Source organism: Homo sapiens, chromosome 2, assembly GCF_000001405.40.
Source record: "Homo sapiens chromosome 2, GRCh38.p14 Primary Assembly".
Taxonomy (NCBI): Eukaryota; Metazoa; Chordata; class Mammalia; order Primates; family Hominidae; genus Homo; species Homo sapiens.
The window spans coordinates 98075881-98101626 of record NC_000002.12 but is presented as its reverse complement, the minus strand read 5'-3'; the positions used below and the strand labels follow the sequence as shown (position 1 = coordinate 98101626).

At 41.2% G+C, this 25746-nt stretch overlaps 1 protein-coding gene across 15 annotated transcripts in view, besides 3 other annotated features; it reads right to left on the bottom strand.

Annotated features, from left to right (window-relative positions):
- The window catches only part of VWA3B (von Willebrand factor A domain containing 3B), a 243450-nt gene extending 228990 nt beyond the window's left edge, over window positions 1–14460 (bottom strand). For 14 of the 15 annotated variants that reach the window (XR_922885.4, NR_144296.2, XR_922884.2 and 11 more), the window contains exons 1-2: window positions 14264–14460; window positions 8339–8566 (exon numbers count right to left, since the gene is read on the bottom strand). Coding sequence is in view for 9 of the 15 variants with exons in the window: in NM_144992.5 (NP_659429.4) it covers window positions 8339–8534 (196 nt within the window). In the remaining 6 variants the exon portion in view is untranslated. Of the gene's footprint in view, window positions 1–8338; window positions 8567–14263 lie in introns of those variants that run through there. The other variant, XM_047443640.1, reaches the window with a different exon arrangement.
- Window positions 13731–14231: an enhancer, noted in NCBI's record as "H3K4me1 hESC enhancer chr2:98703859-98704359 (GRCh37/hg19 assembly coordinates)". NCBI's record gives its function as "activates a minimal SCP1, AML or CMV promoter by ChIP-STARR-seq in naive H9 embryonic stem cells {active_cell/tissue: H9 hESC(naive)}" and the evidence as "EXISTENCE:reporter gene assay evidence [ECO:0000049][PMID:30033119]".
- Window positions 14232–14732: an enhancer, noted in NCBI's record as "H3K4me1 hESC enhancer chr2:98703358-98703858 (GRCh37/hg19 assembly coordinates)". NCBI's record gives its function as "activates a minimal SCP1, AML or CMV promoter by ChIP-STARR-seq in naive H9 embryonic stem cells {active_cell/tissue: H9 hESC(naive)}" and the evidence as "EXISTENCE:reporter gene assay evidence [ECO:0000049][PMID:30033119]".
- Window positions 14266–14335: an enhancer, noted in NCBI's record as "active region_16254". NCBI's record gives its function as "activates an Ori minimal core promoter by ATAC-STARR-seq in GM12878 lymphoblastoid cells {active_cell/tissue: GM12878}" and the evidence as "EXISTENCE:reporter gene assay evidence [ECO:0000049][PMID:35858748]".

The following is a 25746-nucleotide window of genomic DNA, read 5'->3' as shown; positions in this document are numbered from 1 at the left end:
CAACCACATCCCCTAGATCTTCCTTAGTACCAGAATAGAACAAAGCTGGCAAGGAATTGGTAAATAATCTGGTTAAAAAATGGTATTAATGGTTGCTCAATAAATATTTGTTTAATTAATTAATTGACTAATTCAGAATTACTGAGTAAAGTCCTAGTAGTGGAAATTTCCCTGATTGAAGGAGTACTCCTCAGGGGCAATGTTACTAACATGTTGGACAGGGCAGTTCCTGCTGAATGGGCTGTCTCATACATTGTAAGACACTCAGTACTCTGGATTCCCAGGCCTTATATTTCAATGGCATCCCAACAATACATCATGCAAAAGTATATATACGTTGTATATACCCTCACACATTTTCATGCTTTCTGTGGTGGGCAGCACTACTGGGAGTTAAGAACCAACATTCTGGCCAATGCATTTAGGAAAAAGCAGACCATAACACAAAGCAGGCCGCAGTAGGAAAACAGTACATTTTCCCTGAAACTTCACACAGCTATTGTTTTAATCAGTGGCCTCCAAAAAGGACTTGCACATCCCAGGAGATGAACAAGACATTGGCTGGGCTATCAGTAAATACAAATAACTTCTATTTATTTTTTATTTTGTCTTTTAAAAAAGAAAGAACAGAGATGAAGGCAGAGCAAGATGGCAAAACAGGACTTTCCAGTGATTGTCCCCTACAGAAACATCAATTTGAACAACTGTCTACACACAAAAATACCTTCACAAGAGCTAAGAAAACCAGGTGACAGATCACGGTACCTGGTTACAGCATAATATGAGGGTATAAAGGATAGTTTTACCTTACCTGCATCACCCCTCCCTGAACCCCAGGCAGCACAATGCAGAAAAATACCACTATCTGGGCAAAAGACAGGGAAGAAAGAATAGGACTTTACCTTGGACCCTAATACAGGGCCTGACACAGGAAAATCCAGCAGCAGGCAGATCCACATGGCCCTTGACTGCAGGCCGGTACTCGTGGACTAAGCTTCTAGATCTATCCTGGTGCCAAACAGGAACCCATAGCTGCTGTGAGATGAATGCAAGCTCTAGCCCTTATCACCACTGGCTGACTACAGTGACCATGGGCTAAAAATAACCCACAGTGACAGGCAGGCCTCAGCCGCCATGGGCTTTAGTTGTGCCTCTGTGTGGCACTAGCCTCAGTGGCCATGGACTTTGGGTGTGCCCCAACACTGTATCAGCCACAGCAGCCATAAGAATCCAGCCCAGTGCTGTGCCAGCCTTGGTGGCCATAAGATTCTAACCCAGCACTGTGCCAGTCATCATGGTGGTCCTGGGCTTAGGACACCCCCTAGTGCTGCAATGTCTGTAGTGGTCACATGCTTAGGGACCACACCAGAAGACTTGCCCAGAATCTGTGGACAGGGTTACTAATGAAGGATATTCCCAGACAAAGCCAGATGGCAAAGACTGGAATAAGCACCTGCTTCTTTAATGCAGACATTGATGTACAACCACAAGGATCAAGAACGATCCAGGAAACATGACATCACCAAATGAACATAGTAACGTGCTAGTGACTGACCCTACAAATATGGAAATGTATGAACGGCCTGACAACATTTTCAAAGTAGCTGTTTTAAGGAAGCTCAGTGAACTTCAAGAAAATACAGAGAAACAATTCAACAAAATAAGGAAAACCATAAGTTACCAGAATAAAAAATGTCAGAGAGATTGGCATGATAATAACAAAACAGTAACCAGGGAGCTGAAAAATAACTGAACACAAAGAAAAATGCAATAGGGAGTATCAACAGCTGAATTGAACAAGCAGAAGAAAGAATCTGGAATTTGAAGAGAAGTTATTTTGAAAATATACAGAGCAGAAAAAATAAAAAAGAAAAAGGGAATGAAGAAAGCTATGGGACTTATGGGAAAGCATCAAAAGAGCAAATGTTCAAAAGGGAGTAGAGAATGATAAAGGGGTAGAAAGAGTAAAGAAATAATAGCAGGAAACTTTCCAAACCTGGAGAAAGATATAAGTATCTGGTTACAGAAAGGTCAAAAGTCTCTAATCCTCCAACCCAATCTAAATAAGACTACCCCAAAAGATTTTATAATCAAACTGTCAAATATCAAAGACAAAGAGAGAAAACTGAAAGCAGGAAGAGAAAAGAAGCTAGTAACATATAAGGAAGTTCCAATATGTCCAGCTTCTCAGCAGAAATTTCACAGGACAGAAGAGAATAGAATCATATATTCAAAGAGCTCAAGGAGGAAAACAAAAAGCCCTGCCAATCAAGAATTCTGTACTCACCAAAGCTGTCCTTCCCAAATGAAGGAGAGATAAAGACTTTCACAGATAAACAAAAGCCGAGGGAGTTCATCACTACCAGACCTGCCTTATAAGAAATGCTAAAGGGAATTCTTCAAGCTGAAAGAAAAGGACACTAATGAGTAACACAAAAACATCTAAAAGTATAAAACTCACTAAGTACACAAATTCAGAATACTCTAATACTGCAATGGTGGTTTTTAAATTACTTATATCATTAGTATAAAGGTTAAAGGACAAAACTATTAATAATAATAACTAGAATAATTTGCTAAGGGATGTGCAATGGAAAAAGATATAAATCATATCAAAAATTCAAAATTGGGGGATAGAGTTAAAGTTTAGAAGGTTTTTGTGATCAAAATTAACTTGTTATCAGCTTAAAATAACTTCTTATAACTATAAGATGGTTTTTGTAAGCCTTGCGGTAATCACAAAGCAAAAACCTATAATAGATACACTAAAAATAAAAAGCAAGTAATTAAAACATACTACTAGAGAAAAATCACTTAATCACAAAGAAAGAGTAAGAAACAAAAAAAGGATCCACTAAACAACTAGAAAACAATTAACAAAATGGCAGCAGTAAGTTCTTACTTATCAATAATTACCTTGAACTTATGTTCAAGGACTAAATTTTCAATCAAAATACACAGAGTGGCTGTATAAAAAACAAGATCCACCTATATGCTGCCTACAAGAGATTAACTTCACCTGTAAGGACACACAGACTGAAAATGACAGGATAGAACCAGATATTCCTTACAAATAGAAACCAAAGGAGAACAGGGGTAGCTATGTTTATGTCAGATAAAATATATTTTAAGTCAAACACTGTAAAAAGAGACAAAGAAGGTTATTATATAATCAAAAAGGGGTCAATTCATCAAGAGGGTATAAAAATTTCAAACATATGCATCCAATCTAATTAATAATTAAGAAAATATTAATAGATCTGAAGGAAGAGATAGACTAAAATGCAATAATAGTACAATAATAGCAGAGGACTTCAGTATTGCCCTTTCACATGGACAGATCATCCAGAGAGAAAATCAACCAGAAAATGTTAGATTTAAACTGAACTCTAGACCAAATAAACATACACAGAACATTCTACCCAACAGATGCAGAATACACACTCTTCTCAACTGCACACATAATATTATCTAGGATAGCTGATATGTTAGGTCACAAAACAAGTCTTACCAAATTTGAGAAGACTGAAATCGTATCAAGTATCTTTTCAGACCACAATGGTATAAAACTGGAAATCAGCACTAGGAGGAACTTTGGAAAATTAACGAATACATTGAAATTAAACAACATGCACCTGAATAACCAATGGGTCTATAAATAAATTAAAAGGTAAATTAAAATATTTCATGGGCAAATGACATGAATAGACATTCCCAAAAGAAGATATACAAATGGCCAACAAACATATGAAAAAATGCTCAACATCATTAATCACTGGAGAAATGCAAATTAAAATCAGGATGATACACCACCTTACCCCAGCCAGAATGGCCATTAATAGAAAGTCAAAAAACAATAGATGTTGCCATGGATGTGGTTAAAAAAAGAAAAAAAGAATGCTTATATATGGGAATGCAAATTAGTACAACCTCTATGGAAAACAGTATGGAGATTTCTTAAAGAACTACATGTAGATCTACTATTTTATCCAGCAATCCCACTACTGATCTACTGAGTATCTACCAAAAGGAAAAGAAGTCATTGTCTTAAAAGGACACCTGCACATGTATGTTTCTCACAGCATAATTCACAACTGCAAAGATATAGAGCCAATCTAAGTGCCCATCAACCAATGAGTGGATAATGTGGTAGAAGAAAATGTGGAATATTACTCAGGCATAAAAAAAGAATGAAATAATGTATTTTGCAGCAACTTGGATGGAGCTGCAGGCCATTATTTTAAGTGAAGCAACTCAGGAATGGAAAACTAAATACCAAAATGTTTTACTTATAAGTGAGATCTAAGCTATGGGTATACAAAGGTATACAAAGAGGGTGGTACAATGGAATTTGGAGACTCAGAAGTGGGGAGGATGCGGTGAGGAATAAAAAACTAAATATTGGGTCCAATGTGCACTGCTTGGGTTACAGGTGCACTGAAATCTCAGACTTCACCACTATACAATTCATCCATATAACCAAAAGCCACTTGAACCCCAAAATCTACTGAAGTAAAAAAATTTATTAATTAAATTAAATTAAAATATTCCTTGAGACAAATGAAAATGGAAATACAACATAACAAAACCTATGGGTACAGCAAAAGCAGTCTAAGAGGAAAGTTTATAGCAATAAACACCTACTTCAAAAAATATATATCTCAAATATATCTCAAATAAACAACCCAATGTTTTACCTTACCTTAGCGATCAGAGCAGAAATAGAGAATACAAATACATAAAAATATCAATAAAACAAAGAGATAGTCTCTTGAAAAGATAAACAAAATAGACAAACCTAGAGCTAAACTAAGAAAAAAAGAGAGAAGACTCAAATAAAATCAGAGGTAAAAAAGGAAAAATTACAACTGATGCCACAGAAATACAAAGGATCATAAGAGACTACTGTGAACAATTACACATGAACAAATTAGATAACCTAAAAGAAATGAATAAATTCCTGGACACATACATTCTACCAAGATTGAATTATGAAGAAATCTAAAATCTGAACAAACCAATGAGTAAGGAGATGGAATCAGTAATAAAAAATCTCCTGGCTGGGCATGGTGGCTCACACCTGTAATCCCAGCACTTTGGGAGGCCGAGGCAGGTGGATCAGCTGAGGTCAGGAATTCGAGACCAGCCTGACCAACATGGTGAAATCCCGTCTCTACTAAAAATACAAAAATTTGCTGGGCATGGTGGCACATGCCTGTAATCCCAGCTACTTGGGAGGCTGAAGCAAGAGAATCACTTGAACCCAGGAGGCAGAGGTTGCAGTGAGCCAAAATCGTGCCACTGCACTCCAGCCTGGGCAACAAAGCAAGACTCCATCTTTAAAAAAAAAAAAAATCTCCCAGCAAAGAAAAGCCCACGACTGAATGGCTTCATTGCTGAATTCTACCAAACATTTAAAGAAGAACTAATACCAATTCTTCTCAAACTCTTCCCAAAAACTTGAAGAGGAGAGAATATTTCCAAATCCATTCTCTGAGGCAACATTACCCTGACGCCAAAACCATGCAAGGTCACAACAAAAGAGGAAAACTTACAGGCCAATACCCCTGATGAACATAGATGCAAAATGCTCAGCAGAATATTAGCAAACCAAATTCAATAACACATTAAAAAGATCATTCACCATTATCAAGTGGGATTCATCCTAGAAATGCAAGGATGGTTCAACATATGCAAATCAGTAAATGGGATACATCATATTAACAGAATGAAGGACAAAAAACTACATAATCACTTCAATAGATGCAGAATAAGCATTTGACAAAACTCAATATCTCTTCATAATAAAAACTCTCAACAAATTATGTATAGAAGAAATGTGCCTCAACACAGTAAAGGCCATATATGACAAACCCACAGCTAACATACTGAATGGCAGGAAAGTTGAAAGATTTTCCTTTAACATCTGGAAGAAGAAAACGATGCCCACTTTCACCACTTTTATTCACAACAGTACTAGAAGTTCTAGCCAAGGCAATCAGGCAACAGAAAGAAATTAACAGCATCTAAATTGGAAAGAAAGAAGCTAAATTGTCCCTATTTGCAGATGACACAATCTTATACAGAGAAAATCCTAAAGACTCCACTAAAAACCTGTTAGAATTAATTAACAAATTCAGTAAAGTTGCAGACTACAAAATTAACAACAAAAATCAGCAGTGATATACATGCTAACAGCAAACTATCCAAAAAAGTGTAAAAGGAAACCATTCCATTTACAATAGCTACCAAAAACAAATAAATAAAGTACTTAGGAATAAATTTAACTAAGGAGGTGGAATATATCTACAAGGAAAACTATAAACATGGATGAAATTGAAAAGACACAAATTTAAAGATATTCCATGTTCATAGATTGGAAAGATGAATACTGTTAAAAATATCCACACTACCCAAAGTGCTCTACAGATTTAGTGTAACCCCTAACAAAATACCAATGACATTCTTCACAGACATAGAAAAAACAATCCTTAAATTTGTATAGAACCACAAAGAAAGCCAGAATACCCAAAGCAACCTTGAGCAAAAAGAACAAACCTGGAGGCATCACATTACCTGGCTTCAAAATATACTACAAAACTATAGTAATCAAAACAGCATGATACTGGCATAAAAACAGACACATAGATCAATGGAATAGAATAGAGAGCCAAAAAATAAATCCACATATGTATGTACAGCCAATTGATTTTTGACAAGGGTGCCAAGAACACACAATGGGGAAAGGACAGTCTCTTCAATAAAAGGTATTGAGAAAACTGTATAGCCACAGGCAGAATAACAAAATTAGGCCCTTATTGCCACCATATACAAAAATCAACTCAAAATGAATTACAGACTTAATTGTAGGATCTGAAAATATGAAACTACTGGAAGAAAAAGGGAAAAGATCTATGACATCGATCTGGGTGATGATTTTTTGGATATGACCTCAAAAGCACAGGCAACAAAAGCAAAAATAAACAAATGAGATTACATCAAAGTAAAAAGTTTCTCTACAGAAAAGGAAAAAAATCAACAGAGTAAAGAGACAACCTACAGAAATAGGGGAAAATATTTGCAAACTACACATCTGAAAAGGGGTTAATATCCAAAATATTAAAGGAACTTAAATATTAAAACTAAACCTGGTTTTTAAATGGACAAAAGTCCTGAATAGACATTTCTCAAAATAAATCATACAAATGGCCAACAGGTATATGAAAAAAATGCTCAATATTACTAATGGTCAAGGAAATGCAAATCAAAACCACAATGAGATACCATTTCACTCCTGTCACAATGGCTAATATCAAAAAGATAAGTGTTGGCAAGGATATGGAGAAAAGGATACCCACACACACTGTTGGTGGGAATGTAAATTAATATAGCTATTATGGAAAGCAGTATGGAGGTTCCTCAAAACGCTAAAAATAGAACTACCATATGATCCAGCAATCCCACTACTGGATATGTATATCCAAAGGAAATAAAATCAGTAAGTGAAAGAGATATCTGCACTCTCTTGTTTGGTGCAGCACTATTCACAATAGCCAAGATAACGAAATCAACTTAAGTGTCCATCAATAGATGACTGGATAAAGAAAACATAGTATATATACACAATTAAATACTATTCAGCCATAAAAAGGAAAGAAATCCTGTCATTTGCTACGTGAACGAACCTCAAGGGCATTATGTTAAATAAAATAACCAAGGCACAGGAAGACAAACACCACATAACCTCACTCATGTGGAATTTTAAAAAGTTTATCTCATAGAAGTAGCGAGTAGAGTGATGCTTATCAGAGGCTGGGGTGGTTGTGGCGGTGGGAATCGGGAAGATGTTAGTCAAAGGATATACCACTACAATTAGGACATCTAGTCAAGAGATCTATTGTACAGTATGGTGATCATAGTTAATGATGATGGATTGCATTCTTGAAAAACACAGAAAGAGTGGGTAAGTGTTCTCACCACAAAAAATGACTATATGAGGCAATGCATTTGTTAATTAGCTAGATACAGCCATTCACAATGTATACATTCTTCAAAACATCATGTTGTACATGATAAATACATACAGTTTTATCTGTCAATTTAAAAAGTAAAAAAGAAAGGATGAAATTAAGCATTATTTAATACATGGATTGACAATTGTACGTCTACTTAATACACATATATTGGGGGCACACGTGCAAGCATTTTCTACTGATAGGGATATAAGATCAAAGCAAGCTCAGAGACCTGTGGTTTTTGAGGGGCCTTCAGAGCTGATGCAGCCACCTCCACCTCAAAGGCTAAATGGCAGCATGCTGGTTGTTTGTGAGTACTGTACCTTCACAATGTGGGAATCCGATCTGTGACAAAATCTGTTTCAAGGTCAATTTGTTGCTCTTAAGCCCATGCAGTTGAAGCCATTTCTCAGATGAAATGAGACTCTGCTCAGCCAAGTCTGTTTTGGTGTTAATCCATCCCTCTTGCCTCTGCAGCTGCTGCTCAGAGATGGTAGAAGATGGGCCTGATTTCTCCATCTCTGAATCAAGATCTAAGTCACAGCAAACTCCTGTAAGGGCAATCATAAACTCAGACTTCCTAAAAACTTGGAAATCATCTAACGTCAACAGGGGACTGGCTTAACATAAATTATAGTACACCCATGAAGTGGAATGCTATTTATCAATTAAAATTATACATGTATATTTGGTGGAAAAGAGGACAGTCACATGAATTGCTAAGAGGTATCCATAAAGTTCAATATTCAACTATATATATATATATATATATATATATATATATATATATATATACAAAAACATCTAGAAAGATATTCCGTAACAGGTTTAGAGTAGTTTTCTCTGTGTGGTGGTAGTATGTGTGGTTTTTGCCTTTTCTATATTGTTTAAATTTTTGCATTATTTGAATATTTCTAAAATGGGGTTTACTTTGTTGTTGTTGTTGTTGTTTTTTGTTCATTTGTTTTTGAGAAGGAGTCTCGCTCTGTTGCCCAGGCTGGAGTGCAGTGGCACAATCTAGGCTCACTGCAACCTCCACCTCCCAGGTTCAAGCAATTCTGCTGCCTCAGCCTCCTGAGTAGCTGGGATTACAGGCGCGTGCCACCATGCCCAGCTAATTTTTGTATTGTTAGTGGAAATGGGGTTTCACCATGTTGGTCAGGCTGGTCTCGAACTGCTGACCTCGTGATCCGCCCGCCTTGGCCTCCCAAAGTGTTGGGATTACAGGCGTGAGCCACTGCGCCCAGCTGGAATTTACTTTTATAATCAGAAAACTGCAAAGCTCTTCCATTTTGGAAAAAAATAAACACTAGCCCCAGAACCTTCACTACACATCTGTATTCCAATAACAATCACACCTGACATTTTGTGCCCAATGAGGATGAGAAGGATAAAACTCTGACAGGTTTTTACCTGTCGAACAGGTGTAGTGGCTAATTGGGAGCTGGTGGCGGTTGGGAACCAGACCACAGCTCAGCCCAGCTGGAATACATGTATCCACTTTCTGAATGTTTTATTGTCTGGGGCTTTGCTCTACAATTGGACTTAAGCATTCTGGCCCATGTAGCCATCTGTTCTGGGATCAACTGGACCCAAGGCCATATGCAACATATTAAACTTAGCTAGACCTGCCTAAATATAGCTAGTGTATGCAAGAGGAAAGGATGGGGCCAAACTATAATGCAATCTTAACCCGCTCACCACAAATGGGCAGGGCCTGGTGACCTGGAGGAAGTGTAGAAAGTTCTGCTTACTTCTGTATCCAGAATTCACAATGCATGTAAACTGATACCCTGAATTGTAAAACTTTTTAACAATGAAAATAGGTTCTTTCCCTATTTCTAAAACTTTAACTGTATTTCCTAAAAGTTTCACTGTCATGACATGGAAATTCAGTCAAACACAAAAATCAGTTGGACCAAGTCAGGGAGGTTTTATAAAAAGGAGTTAGAAGTATTATCATTAGCAAGCACTTATTTAACATCATGTTATGTGCAATTTACATTTAATCCTTATAACCTCATGAGGTAGGTACTACTCTTATTTTCATTTTACAAATGAGGAAACCAAGACAGAGAGGGGTTAATTAACTTGTCCACAATCTTACAACTGGTAAGGGGTGGAGTTAAGATTCTAAACCAGGCCATTCAGCTCCAGGATCTGTGTTCTGTGATCTTTAGTGTAATAGAAGCAATGCAACAACTTCCATTTGTTGGTCCTTTTATACGCACTAGCTCACAGCTTCTTCATACCATATCAGTTACTCATTATTAACACGCCACTTACATGTGAGGAATCGCAAGCTTCGAGGATTTAAAGAACTTGCTCACAGGTTCTGCCACAGCCAGTGAGAAAAGCAGGAGTCAAAGCCATTTCTTAACCACTCTGCTATCTTTACAATTAACCTCCTCCAGCCAGGTCTTATGGGACAAGGCAATCTGCATTCCAGTAGGACTGCATTCTAGTAGGGCCCTAGGTCCTCATCCGGAACGCTAATCTTTATTCTCAGAGCTCAGACTCAATAAGCTTCTTGGCTTATCACTCTCAAACTTTTAAAGATAATGAGGCTGGGTGCAGTGGCTCATGCCTGTAATCCCAGCACGTTGAGAAGATCGCTTGAGCCCAGGAGTTCGAGACTACCCTGACCAACATAGTGGAGGACTCATCTCTACTAATTTTTTTTTTTTAATTAGCCAGGCATGGTGGTGCATGCCTGTAGTCCCAGCTACTCGAGAGGCTGCAGCAGGAGGATTGCTTGAGCCCAGGAGTTCGAGGTTGCAGTGAGCTCTAATTGCACCACTGCACTCCAGCCTGGGCAACAGAGCAAGAACTTGTCTTTAGCGAGACTCAGTCTCAAAAAAAAAAAAAGATAATAATTTCCATTTCAAGGTTTATGTGAATTTGTATTGTCCACATATGTTGAGTTGCAAAGGTATACAAATTATTATTGGTGAAGATCTGGCTTTCTTTCTACAAAGGCTCAATTTGAGGAGAATATTGCAATATTACTTGGAGAGCATCACGTAGGAGTGGAAAAGTTTAGAATCAAAACTCAGTATAAGCCCATTCTGCCACTTTAAGGTGATTCCACCTCTCTAGGATAGTAATACCACCTGCACACCCTAACTCCCAGGGCTATTCAAGGAACAACTGTGCTGATGTATAAGTTATGCGTGGATAAGCACTTTATATGTTGGAAACAGCTATGTGCAAATAAATGATCTAAAAGTCATGGTTCTTTAGTCATTGTATTTTGTTTCATGAGACCCACTTTCATCCCAAGCACTTTTTATCCCCAAGTCTCCAATCATACTGAGCTAGAAAGTTTAGAATCACAGAACATGAAAACAAGGGCAGACTAATATGCCTCAACTTGTTTTTGAGGATCTATCCACAAAGACTGGAGCTGAAAGAAAGTCTTTTAAATTTGGTCAGTTGTTCCAAGAAACAAGAAAGGGAAGCTCAGAAGAAACTTTTTTCTTTACTATTTCATCATTTCCAATTAATTTTTCTCTTCCCTGAAACACACCCACCTCCTACAATATTCTTGCTGAAGGGAGTACTAGGTTTAAAAGGGAGCACTTTTACATAAACTGCCCTAATAAGATTTTGTAAAGTGGATTTGGGAACCTTAAAGAGGGGTTCAGAATAGTCACAGGTGTTGTTTTTAAGCTAAAGGGACATGTTTTTGATCCCCAAAAAAGGCAATCAAAACTTCTCCAGTATAGCTAAGGTGCACGCCCCAGTCCCTTTTGCACTCATATGACTTTTAAAAAATTAATTTTTAAAAAAAGTGTAATTGGCTCTACTGGATCTGAGAACCTGTACAGTCCAGTCTGATTCAGATCTTACCTCCAGCGTTTTGTAGCCTGAGAATATTTGTATTGTCTGAAATACAAATGGAATATTTGTATTGTCTGAAATACAAATGGAATATTTGTATTGTCTGGAAAAAAAAAAAGGAAGGAAAGGGGGAAAGGGAGAAAAGCCATCTCCCAACAGAAGGAATTGTTCCACTCAAGTGGGATAGGAACTGTTCTATCAGAGCAAGGAAGCCTGCTGCGAGCCGGGACGTAGCCCCCTTCTCCCCACCCCACCCCCACTAGCCCGCCTGCTTTCCCACCTCCAGGTTGGTCTCAGACGGCTCTCCTATGCAGACTCTTAGCCTGCAAGTCTCATTTCAAATGCTGCCTCTGCCATTAAGCCTCCCCGAAACCCCTTCACAACCTTCCGCAGCCCCTCCCTGGGAAAACCCTAACTTTTGCTATGATACTTTATCACTAAGGTCTTAGGCACTTCAGGCTTGTCCTCACTAGACTTAAAGACAGTTCAATGACTACGGAGACAAACTACAGGAAGATTCTCAGCACAGGGCCTCATACGCAGCAGGCACTTGGTGTGAGAGTTGAGATGAATAAAACTGATCACTCAGAGCTACTAAGAGAATCCTGATTTTGTTCAAAGAAGGCAAATATCCACAGTGTTAATAAGGCTAATATCAGGAAACAGCTCTTTTAAAAAAGGGATATATTGGCCGGGCACGGTGGCTCACTCCTGTAATGCCCCCTTAAAGTGCCAAAGTGCTCTCTTGGCACTTTGGGAGGCCAAGGCGGGCGGATCACCTGAGGTCAGGAGCTTGAGACCAGCCTGGCCAACATGGTGAAACCTCGTCTCTACTAAAAATACAAAAATTAGCCGGGCATGGTAACACACACGTGTAATCCCAGCTACTAGGGAGGCTGAGGCAGGAGAATTGCTTGAACCCAGGGGGCAGAGGTTGCAGTAAGCCAAGATTGCACCACTGCACTCCAGCCTGGGGGACAGAGCGAGACCCTGTCTCAAAAAAAAATAAAGGGGGATATATTATTTTCTGATAAAACTATGCTATTTATTTATTTATTTACTATTATTCAGAGTTTCCTCAGCTGAGGTTATTATAAATTGGGGAACCAAGTAACCCAGAAGTCGGAAACAACAACATACCGGAGTTGAGCATTGCCCTAAGTTTTAGAGGCCATCCCAAGAACCATACATAGAGTTTGGATAGGAAAGTATTTCCTTAGAAGAAGGAGGAAGTGTAAAAGGAAAAACAAGGAAGTGAAAGTCTGAGCTGAAAATGTGGGCAGGCAAAGCTTTGGGGAAAATAGAAAGGTTAAGCTGGCAACTGTACAAGGGCCCCGTCTACTGGAAGCAGATGCTCCTGGGCTGCCCTGGGCGACAGTCTTGTGAAGTCAGCATGCCCTCAGAGAAAAGGTCCTATGTGCTCGGAGGTTCAGGGACAGTGCAGGGTTGAGAGTCCATTAATCCAGTTTAGACATTCAATAAGCTTCTAGCTACTTTATTATCAACACCCCAAACTTCCTATACCCCTGTTAGTTTCTGAAAAAGAAGTCTGGGCTAGGTGGATATATATCTTGTGATTTAGGTGAATTTGTGAACGATGATTTTTCCAGGAAGAAAGGAAACTGGGACGAAGCTTCATGATGGATCCTGATGCAACTCTTCCCCAGAAACCCTTAAACCTCCTCCCATTTTTTCTGCCCTTAAGGGACAAGGCTTGGCTGTGATCATTGGCTCAAATAATGTGGACAGAGACAAGGATATTGAAACGGACTGTCCCACCGTTGAGAAAATAGTCAAGAAGGCAATATCTGAGAATAATTGGAGTGCTTTAGGAGGAAGGTCATTGCTGAGAAGAAACAGAGCTTCCAAGAAAATGAAAGGAAAAGCTCTACCAAATGGAAACTAAATCTACTTATTAAGTCTTATTTCCATATAAGGAGGGTGAAAGAAACTGATATGATTGTGAAACCATGTAAGTGTTGCTTTGGCTTTTAGACTATACATATTTATCCTTATGTTCAGGAAATGTGTTTCTTCTGGTTCCCATGTTCCCTCCAAAGCCCAGGTGGACTTCATCACCTTGAACTGCTGGCCTATGGCATAGACAGAAACTAGGAAAACCGCTTTTCCACCAGAGCGGCTGGGCGTGGGCTCGGGTGAGGTGTGATGGAAAGAGCTCTAGAGTAGGAGGGGTCGGTACCTTGACCCTCGGCTTGCCCTGGGTAGCGGACGATTAAGTGGGCCAGGGCAAGTCACCGAGCTTTCCTGGTACTGTTTCCGCATCTGTAAAGTGGGCGTGTAGTCCACCTCAGAAATGGCATTTTTCCAAGACCTCCCTAGGCCGCTTGTTGGAAGGCTCGGCACCTCGGCGGCTCTCGTGCGGCAGGCATCGCTCCCACACTTACTAGGCAATATGTCGGGTGGAAGACGTGGCGGCTCCCGCTCAGCAGCCACCCTCCCATCCTCCCGGGCCCGCCTGACCCGAGAGGGCGGGCGAGGTAAGCATCCCGCTGGTGGATAAGGCAGCGATTCCGGCGGGCGAAGGCTGCGCGCCGGGGGCGAAGGATTCCAGCTGTTCTAGGTCTCTGTGACCCGCGCCTCTGGTTCCGAGCGCGGTCTGTTGACGACGGCGTCTCCGCGGTTGCCTGGACACGGCCAATCACAGCGCGGCTCCTGGAGCCGGCCCCGCCCACAGACCGCGCCCTCACTGGGGCGATGGCTGCGGACCGTGGCCAAGAGGGCGGGGCGCCGAGGCCGTCACCGAGCCAGGTGCGGAAAGCCGGCGTCCGGAACCACCCGGGCCGGGACGACCTCCACCCCAGACCCCCAAACAGAGGCCACGCTAGAGGGACAGGGCGAGTGGCGTTGCCCCTTGCGCCTACTGTCAATGGGAAAATTAACAACAGCGGAGAATATGAATGAAAGAATGAATGAATTAACAAACAAATACACTGATGAGCTGGGGTAGAAATATAGGGTGCGAGCAGACAGGGGAGGAAGGCGCCAGAGGCCGAGGAGAGGCGAGGAGACTGCGGGAAACGCTACAAACGAACTTCTTTTCATACTTTTCAGCAGAGCATTGACCCCTGTGTAGTTTTAATTTTCACCTCACCACTGTCAGGCGATGCTCTCTTCCTTGCACAGTTCAGAGAAAGACGCTTTAAAAGAGGTGGGGCAGTTCGTTGTAGCTCAGCCACTGGACGTGGGCGGAGCTGAGACAGACAGAAGGGACAGGGAGCTGCAATTTTGCAATTGTGGAGGCAGGGGCTGCAGTTGCCAAGAATATTCTTACCTGTTTGACATGAATATTTCTATAGGCATTATTTTCTCCATTCAGCTTTGTTTTTAACCTTTGTTTCAGTGTTACCTTATCAATTAAGCAAAAGGCTCTAAATATTTTCCTATTTTTCCAGTCACCAGGAAATAAAATTGTGCTTATGAAAAGTATCTTTAAAGTCTTAATAAAAGACCCCACAGTAAGTATTGTTTTTAGGGTATTGGGATAGTAAACGATTTTAGATTTTAAAATTATAGAACTGACCAGATCATTTGCAGGTTTTTCAAAGAACTAATAAAACATAGTTAATGTTAGAACTGAGTAATTCTGTCCCCCCAAAAAAAGTCTGCTTCATCCACAGGAATTTATTTCTCCTGCATTCTTTTAATGCCTCTATCATTTAAAAAGTACTGAAAGATTTCATTCCATATCACAAATCATTCCTGGCAGTTATTAGTTTATATATATTTGGCCCTGCAAATGAAACCTGCCATCCACACCACCAAAAAACAAGCAAAAGCTTGATAGTACTGAAGACTGTTCAGAAGGGAGTAAAACACCAGCCTCGCCCATGTTTGCCAATGACCCATTAATCCTTGCTGTCCACACCCTGCCACACTAATATTCTTGGGTCACGGGGGTGAGACAGAGCACACAGCAACACATAGCCAAATGCCCTGCCTCACATGGTCACGCCAGGCACTCTTGTTCCCACCTTCACCCCATGCCTGCTCCTTTCCCTAGGACACTTGCCACATACGTGCAAGTCACCAAGATGATCTGTCCCTATCTTTCGTGTTTATGTGTCTATAAGCATACATTCTGTTGAAAATGTGAAACATTACTTACTTAAATTGTAGAATGATAAGTGAGTAGAAGTTTAAGGTTATTTTGAAGCATTAAATAGTTGGTATGGACTTCAGTTTAGCTAGTTACAGAATGGTTTGCCTCATTTTTATTGAGTTATTTGAAATAAGAAAACCTTTAGCACAGTGGTGATACACTACTATACTGAACTTTTGACAAATTTGTTTTGAGTTTACATTTTTACAGATAATTTGTATCTTTCCTTAAACCTCAGTAAGCGACATTGATCAAATCACTGCCATCTTTGATGTCAAACTTCTGGACTTTACCATTAAGGGCTCAAATTATACTTTCAGACTTTTGCTCATTGCCTCCAACACAAACCCCCATCCCAGAGAGACCCACCTGGTCCCTGCCTCTGAGCACAGATGACTTTACTCAGGCCACCCAGATTACCACAGTTTGGGAATCACCGTCCCTTCAGGGTCAGCTCTAGCTCTTCTCTCTCTCCCCAAAGCCCTCCCATGGATGCTGCGGCCCTAATAACTTCTCTCTACCTGTACAGTCTCAAAGCATTGCTTGCCAGTACCACACTCTTGGCAACCATGTACAAGCCTTTGACAAGCCTTTCGTTGTTATTTGACCTTTGTGCTGTTTACTTTTCAGGTTCAATGGGTTTTCCTTTTCTTTATACAAGTCTATCACTGCCACTGCTTGGGCTTATGGCCATGATCAGAATGTTTGGTGGAGGAGGGAGGGTGATAAAGGAAATGAAGGGAGGAAAAGCATTTTCCTAAGCCCACTGCAAAAACTGGAACCAGAGGAGACGGAGAATGTTAACTCCTTGTATATATGTGTGAGAAAGAACCTGAGCTGGAATTAAAACAGAGGCACTCCCTCTGAAGAGGAAGGAGAAACTGAGAGAGTGAGGCAGTTCCTGCTGAACCTTTGTTAGCTCTTGTGGTGAAGGGAGTTTTCGCCATCAGGGGCAGCCTTGGGAGAGGTAGGTGGGGACAGGGGCCATCACGGGGAGGTAGAGCTCAAACAGAGGTTTCTCTATGCTGTGATGTTCTTGAGTTCAGCATTCATTATTTGGGACAATGAATGTAGACTCCTGGCTCTCAATCTAACATCTTTGATGAGGGTCAGAGCTTTTTTACTACCCTTGGCAAAGACTACGTTCACTTTTACCAGACTGAATTAACACTTAATCATAGCTAGAATGTATTGAATGTCAGACCATGTTCTAACCTCTTTAAATATATTACATCATTTAATACTTAGAAAAGCTCTTTGAGGGAGACATCATAATTATGTCCATTTTCTAGATAAGTAAACTGAGACAGAATATTAAGCTATTTCTCCAAGGCCACTCAATGGTGGTTCCGGAATTTGAACCCAGGCAGCCTGACTCCACACCCTGCCCTGTTAATTATATGCTGTGTTGATCAACTGTTGGCTTCAATTTTCTCCAAGAGGAAATTTCTGTCATCTCAGTCATACAGTGTTCATTTAGTGCTTGATACTAATGGCACAGAGAAACCTCCCTGGATTTAAATGTGTTTTTAACAAGACATATTCCCATTTTAAATGGCATAAAGCAGGTCTGTTTTTAAATTACCCTCCCCGGCCAGGCACCGTGGCTCACGCCTGTAACCCTAACACTTTGGGAGGCCAAGGTGGGCAGATCACCTGAGGTCAGGAGTTCAAGAACAGCCTGGCCAACATGGTGAAATCCTGTCTCTACAAAAATACAAAAATTAGCTGGGCATGATGGCGGGTGCCTGTAATCCCAGCCACTTGGAAGGCTGAGGCGGGAGAATCACTTGAACCTGGGAGGCAGAGGTTGCAGTGAGCCGAGATTGTGCCATTGCACTCCAGCCTGGGCAACAGAGTGACACTCCGTCTCAAAAAAAAAAAAAAAAAAATTACCCTTCCCCCCTACACTTCTTGTTAACCAATTCCTTTGTAATGTGGCATTATTTTAAAAGCTGGATGCCTTGTAGGGTACTAACATATCCCCACAGCAAATTAAGAAAAACTGAACAAAAATATTTTATATAAACAAAAACTCTCAAATATTTGGAAATTTCAAATCACTCTTCAAAATAGTTACTGATACTAAAACCTAGCAAAGACAATACTCTTAGAATGAGATTTTGATCTTACAGGAATGATATTCAGGAATGGACTCAGTCTTGCCTTGGTGTGGTCATCATCTTTCTGCAGTTCCTGAAGATGAGCAGCACGATAGACAATGGCAGAAGGAGATAAGGAATTTCCTTACTTTAAGTGCCTCTAACTCTAGTGCGGGGTGACCTGGCTATGTGGGCACAGGAGTTGGGCACTAAGCTGGAGCCTTTCTCCCTTCTACACTCAGATCTTTCCACCAGCTCCTTGCCAAGATTGGGAGGGTGAATGAGCAACACTGCTTACGAGGGAGGAAGAGAGATGACAGGTTCTGTCCATAATAAGAGATCAGCTCCAGTTTGTTTGTCCTCCTTTCTCCCTGGAGAAAGAGCAAAGTACCAAAGGGAGAGCCACACAAGGGTTTGTAGCTCATAAACTTGGCACCATCAACATCCTGGAATCTCATCCAATTATGTCAGTGTTCCCCCCTCTTGAGGAGTGAAGAAGAGAGAGGAAAGCAAGAAAGAGTTTAACATTAAAAGAATTAGGGCTGGGCACGGTGGCTCACACCTGTAATCCCAGCACTTTGGGAGGCCGAGGTAGGCGGATCATGAGGTCAGGAGTTCGAGGCTAGCCTGACTAACATGGTGAAACCCGTCTCTACTAAAAATACAAAAAATTAGCGGGGCTTTGTGCAGGCACCTGTAATCCCAGCTACTTGGGAGGCTGAGGCAGGAGAATCACTTGAACCTGAGAGACGGAGGTTGCAGTGAGCCAAGATCATGCCACTGCACTCCATCCTGGGCAACAGAGCGACATCTGCCTCAAAAAAAAAAAAAAAAAAAAAAACTTAGAACATTCTCACTGATTAATATAATTGTAAAAATGCTGGGTAAAAATTCCAACAAATTGAATTCAATGAAATATGTTTAAAAGAATGATTTTTTTTTAATTTGTAAAAATAGATACCTTTCTGCCAAACAATTTCATTTCTAGGTTTCCTAGAAAACACACAGAAGTGTTTTTATCATTGCAAAATAATGGAAAGCATCTAAATGTCCAACAAGAAGGGAGTCATTGAAATTATGCTATATTCTTATTGTGATATGATAACAGTTTAAAATAAAAAGATAAACTTATGTATAATAATATAGAAATGTCTCCAAGGTTAAGTATTTCCTTAAAATAAAGTTGCAGAGTGTATGTGCAGGACATTGCATTTTACATCAACACATACACGCAATTATATTGATATATTCACATGTTTACTTCTACCCACAGCCCATTAGCCAAAACAAGTCACATGACCCCCACCTAATTACCAGGAAATGGGGAAGTTTGGAGAACATGGGATAGTCCCTGAGCAGTGGGCATTTTTCTCTGCCGTGTTAATCCAAGGCTTAGGTTCTCGGAGCATAACAGCCAGAAGGCGTTGCAGACGCAGCTGCTTTCCATTGTGCTGAACACAACCCCTGAGGAAGTGGAGAGGGGCCTCTGCTTCAATGTGGTGAAGTAGAGGAAGTGAAGCGAAGGAGCCCTCTGCTTCAAGGGCATGCGGGAGGCACAGAGTGGGAAACGCGCGCACACACACACACACACACACACACACACACGGTCCAGCTGCATCTAAAGTTGTATACGAAGGCCGGGCGCAGTGGCTCACGCCTGTAATCCCAGCACTACGGGAGGCCAAGGCGGGTGGATCACCTAAGGTCAGAAGTTACAGACCATCCTGGCCAACATGGTGAAACCCCGCCTCTACTATAAATAGAAAAATCATCCGGGCATGGCGGAGGGCACCAGTAGTCCCAGCTACTAGGGAGGCTGAGGCAGGAGAATCGCTTGAACCTGGGAGGCGGAGACTGCAGTGAGCCGAGATCGTGCCACTGCACTCCAGCCTGGGCCACAGAGCGAGACACTGTCTCAAAAAATAAAATTAAGTTAAAAAGTTATATACTAAGATTTTCTTACTCAAATGGAAATGATGTAACAGAGAAGAGATTTATAATATTTTATGCCAAAGGGTTTTGTAAAATATGAATGTAATAATGATCATCTAAAGATTATCTCTCTATGTTCTAAAAGCATCTATTCAAGACACTATTATGTTGTCATAGGTCCTGATTCAAATTCCCTACAAACTTTTTGGAGTTTAGGGCTATGGAACTGAGCACCTTTTGATGGGTTGGTAGCTTCCTTTTTTTTTTTTTTAAATAGAATATCTCTTCTTGTCGTGACAGCCAAGAGGCTCAGAACTATGCTTGAAGCTCACTGATATGGTTTTGCTCTGTAACCCCATCCAAATCTCATCTTGAATTGTACTCCCATAATTCCCACATATTGTGGGAGGGGCCCGGTGGGAGGTAATTTGAATCGTGGGGGTGGATTCCCCATACTGTTCTCCTGGTAGTGAATAAGTCTCACAAGATCTGATGGTTTTATCAGGAGTTCCGGCTTTTGTATCTTCTCTCATTTTTCTCTTGCCACTGCCATGTAAGATGTGCCTTTGGCCTCCTGCCGTGATTCTGAGGCCTCCCCAGGCATGTGGAACTGTGTGAAAATGGACTAATACACTTACCTAGAGTAGCTTTCTGATATAATTAGCCTCCCTCCCCTCTTTCAGCTCTCAACTGGTATTAGATCTACTAACATTAAGATCTAGTCTGATCCTAATGGCTTTGGCAGATTGATATAGAATGGGCCTTTAAGTTTAACCCAGTGCCTTTCACAATGTGATTAGGGCATTGCTATGATTTGGATGTGGTTGGTCCCCAACAAGACTCACATTAAAGCTAATTGCCGCTGCAGCACTATTGGGAGGTGGGGCCTAATGGGAGGTGTTTGGAACATCAGAGTGGATCTGTTATGAATAGAATAAGGCCATCTCAAGGGAGTGAGTGAGTGCTCACTCTGGAGGGAAGGGATTTGTTCCTCTGAGAATGGGTTGTTATAAAGTGAGGTTCCTCCTCCTGTTTAGTGCCTCTTCACACACGCTTGCTTTTCCACTTCTCCACCATGTCTTGACACAGCACATAGCCCTCATCAGAAGCTAACCAGATGCTAGGGCCATGCTCTTGAACTTCCCAGCCACCAGCATTGTGAGCTAAATAACTCCTTTTCTTTTTAAATTACCCAATCTCAGATATTCTGTTACAGCAACACAAAATGGACTCAGACAGCCATAAATAAAATCTCAAACAGAAAAGCAGAGGCATCTTTGTACAGTGTCCTCCAAAGCCTAGACTGTTAGTGAGAGGGGCTGAGAAAGAACTGCGTGATAAGGGGGTACACAGCAGCCATTCCACCCCCAGGAATGGGCCATACGTGTTTCAGAGCTCAATTGTTTGGGGGAGAAAGGATTCTGTCCTCCTGTTACGACTCCTTGAGGTTATTCAAGAGTTTCATAGTGCCCAAGATCTCTACGGGGCAAACTGAGCCCCCTTAGGCCTCACTCATGGAGAGCTCTTCACAGGAAGGAGCCCCTGATCTCACCTCCTCACTCAAGCTGGCAGGAATTTGCCTCCACCCTCAAAGCCTGGTCATTTCACTCAGCTTTACACTTGTCCTTGTTCCCAGTTGATGAATGAGCCAGATTCTTAAATCATTAAGCAATCACGGAAAGAGAAATTATTGATTTTTAATTGTAGCAAAGGTTTAAACAAAATTCCCAAAAAGTCATTACCTAAATGTCATTGTTTGTCTTTTTGGGTCCTCCTTAACTGAAAGGATGGTTTTAAAAGGTTACAGAAGTGGTAGGCTTCTTCCCTCCGAGGAGGGCTTTTCCAACTTCCTGATGAATACTCAACTCTAATCCCTGGCAAGGCTGCAGCCCCCAGCCTTTAGGATCCCAACTGCATTTCCTGAAAGAACAGGACAAGGAGTAAATTCCTAATAATGTGAAAAAGAAATTCCACAGAGCCATGCTGTGAAAGAATAAATTTACTTAAATAAGATCAGCAAAAAGTAACTGATATAGTTTGGATATTTTCCCCCACTCAGATCTCATGTTGAATTATAATTCCCAAGGCTGGAGGTGGGGCCTGGTGGGAGGTGTTTAGATCATGGGAACAAATCCCTCATGGCTTGGTGCTGTCTTTGCAAAAATGAGTGAGTTCTCATGAGATCTGGTCATTTAAAAGTGTGTGGTACCCCGCACCCCAACCATCACACACACACAAACACACTCTCTCTCTTTCTCTCTCTCTTGCTCCTGCTCTGCCATGTGAGATGCCTGCTCTTCCTTCACCTTCCACCATGATTGGAAGTTTCATGAGGTCTCCCCACAAGACAAGAAGATGTCAGTGCCATGTTTTCTGCAGTCTGAAGAACCATCAGCCAATTAAACCTCTTTTATTTATAAATTACCCAGTCTCAAGTATTTCTTTATAGCAATGCAAGAATGGCCTAACAGAGAAAATCAGTATTGAGGAGTGGGGCATTTCTATAAAGATACCTGAAAATGTGGAAGTAGCTTTGGAACTGGATAACAGGCAGAGGTTGGAAGAGTTTGGAGGACTCAGAAGACAGGCAGATGAGGGAAAGTTTGGAACTTCTTAGAGACTAATTTAATGGTTGTGACCAAAAAGCTGGAAGTGTTATAGACAGTGAAGTCCAGAATGCTGAAGTCTCAGATAGAAATGAGGAACTGATTGGTAACTGGAGCAGAGGTCACTCGTGTTATGCCTTAGCAAAGAGTTTAGTTCATGCATTCTGTTCACGCCTTAGGGATCTATGGAAGTTTGAGCTAAAGAGTGATGTTTTAGGATAGCTGACAGAAGAAATTTATAAGCAGCAAAGTGTCCAAGAGGTGGCCTGAATGCTTCTAACAACCTATGCTCAGATGAGGGAACAAAGGAATGACTTGAAGTTGGAATTATGTTTTTAACAGGGAATCAGAGCATAAACGGTTGGAATATTTATAGCCCCAGCCATGTAGCAAAAAAGAAAAAGCTTTTTCAGGAGAGAAATTCAAGCATGCTGTGAAGCAACCACTTGCTAGAGATAGTTGCATAACTAAATGGAGGTCAAATGCTAATATCCAAGATGATGCAGAAAAGGCGTTGAATGCATTTCGGAGGTCTTCCCAGCAGCCCCTCCCATTACAGGCCCAGAGGCTGAGGAGGGAAGAATGGTTTCATGGGCCAAGACCAGGGCCCTGCTGCCATGTGCAGCCTTGGGACACTGCTCCTGGCATCCCAGCTGCTCCAGCTCAAGCCATGGCTCAAAGGGGCACAGGTACAGCTCCAGGTGCCACTTTGGAGAATGCAAGTCATGAGCCTTGGCAATTTCCACATGGTATTAAGCCTCCAAGTGCACAGAGTGTAAGAGCGATGGATTCTTGGTAGCTTCCTCGTAGATTTCAGAGGATATATGGAAAAGCCTGGGTGTCCAGGCAGAAGCCTGCTGCAGGGGCAGAGCCCTCACAGAGAACCTCTACTAGGGCAGTTGAGGCAGGGGGGAATGTGGGGTTGGAGGCCCCACACAGAGTCCTCACAGGTGAACTGCCTAGTGGAGCTGTGGGAAGAGGGCCACTGTCCTCAAGACCTGAGGACAGTGGTAGATGGTAGATCCACCAGCAGCTTGCACCCTGCACCTGGAAAAGCCATAGGCATTCAACTCAAGCCGGTGAGAGCAGCCTTGGGGGCTGCACTCTGCAAAACCACAGGGGTGGAGCTGCCCAAGGTCTTGAGAGCCCACCCCTTGCACCAGTGTGACCTGGATGTAGGACATGGAGTGAAAGAGATTATTTTGGAGTTTTTTTTTTTTTAATTTAAGTTTTAGGGTACATGTGCACAACATGCAGGTTTGTTACATATGTATACATGTGCCATGTTGGTGTGCTGCACCCATTAACTCGTCACTTACATTAGGTATATCTCCTAATTCTCCTAATGCTATCCCTCCCCCTCCCCCCACCCCATTGACAGGACCCGGTGTGTGATGTTCCCCTTCCTGCGTCCAAGTGTTCTCATTGTTCAATTCCCACCTATGAGTGAGAACATGCGGTGTTTGGTTTTCTGTCCTTGCGATGGTTTGCTCAGAATGATGGTTTCCAGCTTCATCCATGTCCCTACAAAGGACATGAACTCATCCTTTTTAATGGCTGCATAGTATTCCATGGTGTATATGTGCCACATTTTCTTAATCCAGTCTATCACTGATGGACATTTGGGTTGGTTCCAAGTCTTTGCTATTGTGAATAGTGCCACAATAAACATATGTGTGCATGTGTCTTTATAGCAGCATGATTTATAATCCTTTGGGTATATACCTGGTAATGGGATGGCTGGGTCAAATGGTATTTCTAGTTCTGGATCCTTGAGGAATCGCCACACTGTGTTCCACAATGGTTGAACTAGTTTACAGTCCCACCAACAGTGTGGAAGTGTTCCTATTTCTCCACATCCTCTCCAGCACCTATTGTTTCCTGACTTTTTAATGATCACCATTCTAACTGGTGTGAGATGGTATCTCATTGTGGTTTTATTTGCATTTCTCTGATGGCCAGTGATGATGAGCATTTTTTCACGTGTCTGTTGGCTGCATAAATGTCTTCTTTTGAGAAGTGTCTGTTCATATCCTTTGCCCACTTTTTGATGGGGTTGTTTGTTTTTCTTTCTTGTAAATTTGTTTGAGTTCTTTGTAGATTCTGGATATTAGCCCTTTGTCAGATGAGTAGATTGCAAAACTTTTCTCCCATTCTGTAGGTTGCCTGTTCACTCTGATCGTAGTTTCTTTTGCTGTGCAGAAGCTCTTTAGTTTAATTAGATCCCATCTGTCAATTTTGGCTTTTGTTGCCATTGCTTTTGGTGTTTTAGACATGAAGTCCTTGCCCATGCCTGTGTCCTGAATGGTATTGCCTAGGTTTTCTTCTAGGGTTTTTATGGTTTTAGGTCTAACATGTAAGTCTTTAATCCATCTTGAATTAATTTTTGTATAAGGTGTAAGGAAGGGATCCAGTTTCAGCTTTCTACATATGACTAGCCAGTTTTCCCAGCACCATTTATTAAATAGGGAATCCTTTCCCCATTGCTTGTTTTTCTCAGGTTTGTCAAAGATCAGATAGTTGTAGATGTGTGGTATTATTTCTGAGGGCTCTGTTCTGTTCCATTGGTCTATATCTCTGTTTGGTACCAGTACCATGCTGTTTTGGTTACTGTAGCCTTGCAGTATAGTTTGAAGTCAGGTAGCATGATGCCTCCAGCTTTGTTCTTTTGGCTTAGGATTGTCTTGGCAATGCAGGCCCTTTTTTGGTTCCATATGAACTTTAAAGTAGTTTTTTCCAATTCTGTAAAGAAAGTCATTGGTAGCTTGATGGGGATGGCATTGAATCTATAAATTACCTTGGGCAGTATGGCCATTTTCATGATATTGATTCTTACTATCCATGAGCGTGGAATGTTCTTCCATTTGTTTGTGTCCTCTTTTATTTTGTTGAGCAGCGGTTTGTAGTTCTCCTTGAAGAGGTCCTTCACATCCCTTGTAAGTTGGATTCCTAGATATTTTATTCTCTTTGAAGCAATTGTGAATGGGAGTTCACTCATGATTTGGCTCTCTGTTTGTCTGTTATTGGTGTATAAGAATGCCTGTGATTTTTGCACATTGATTTTGTATCCTGAGACTTTGCTGAAGTTGCTTATTAGCTTAAGGAGATTTTGGGCTGAGACAATGGGG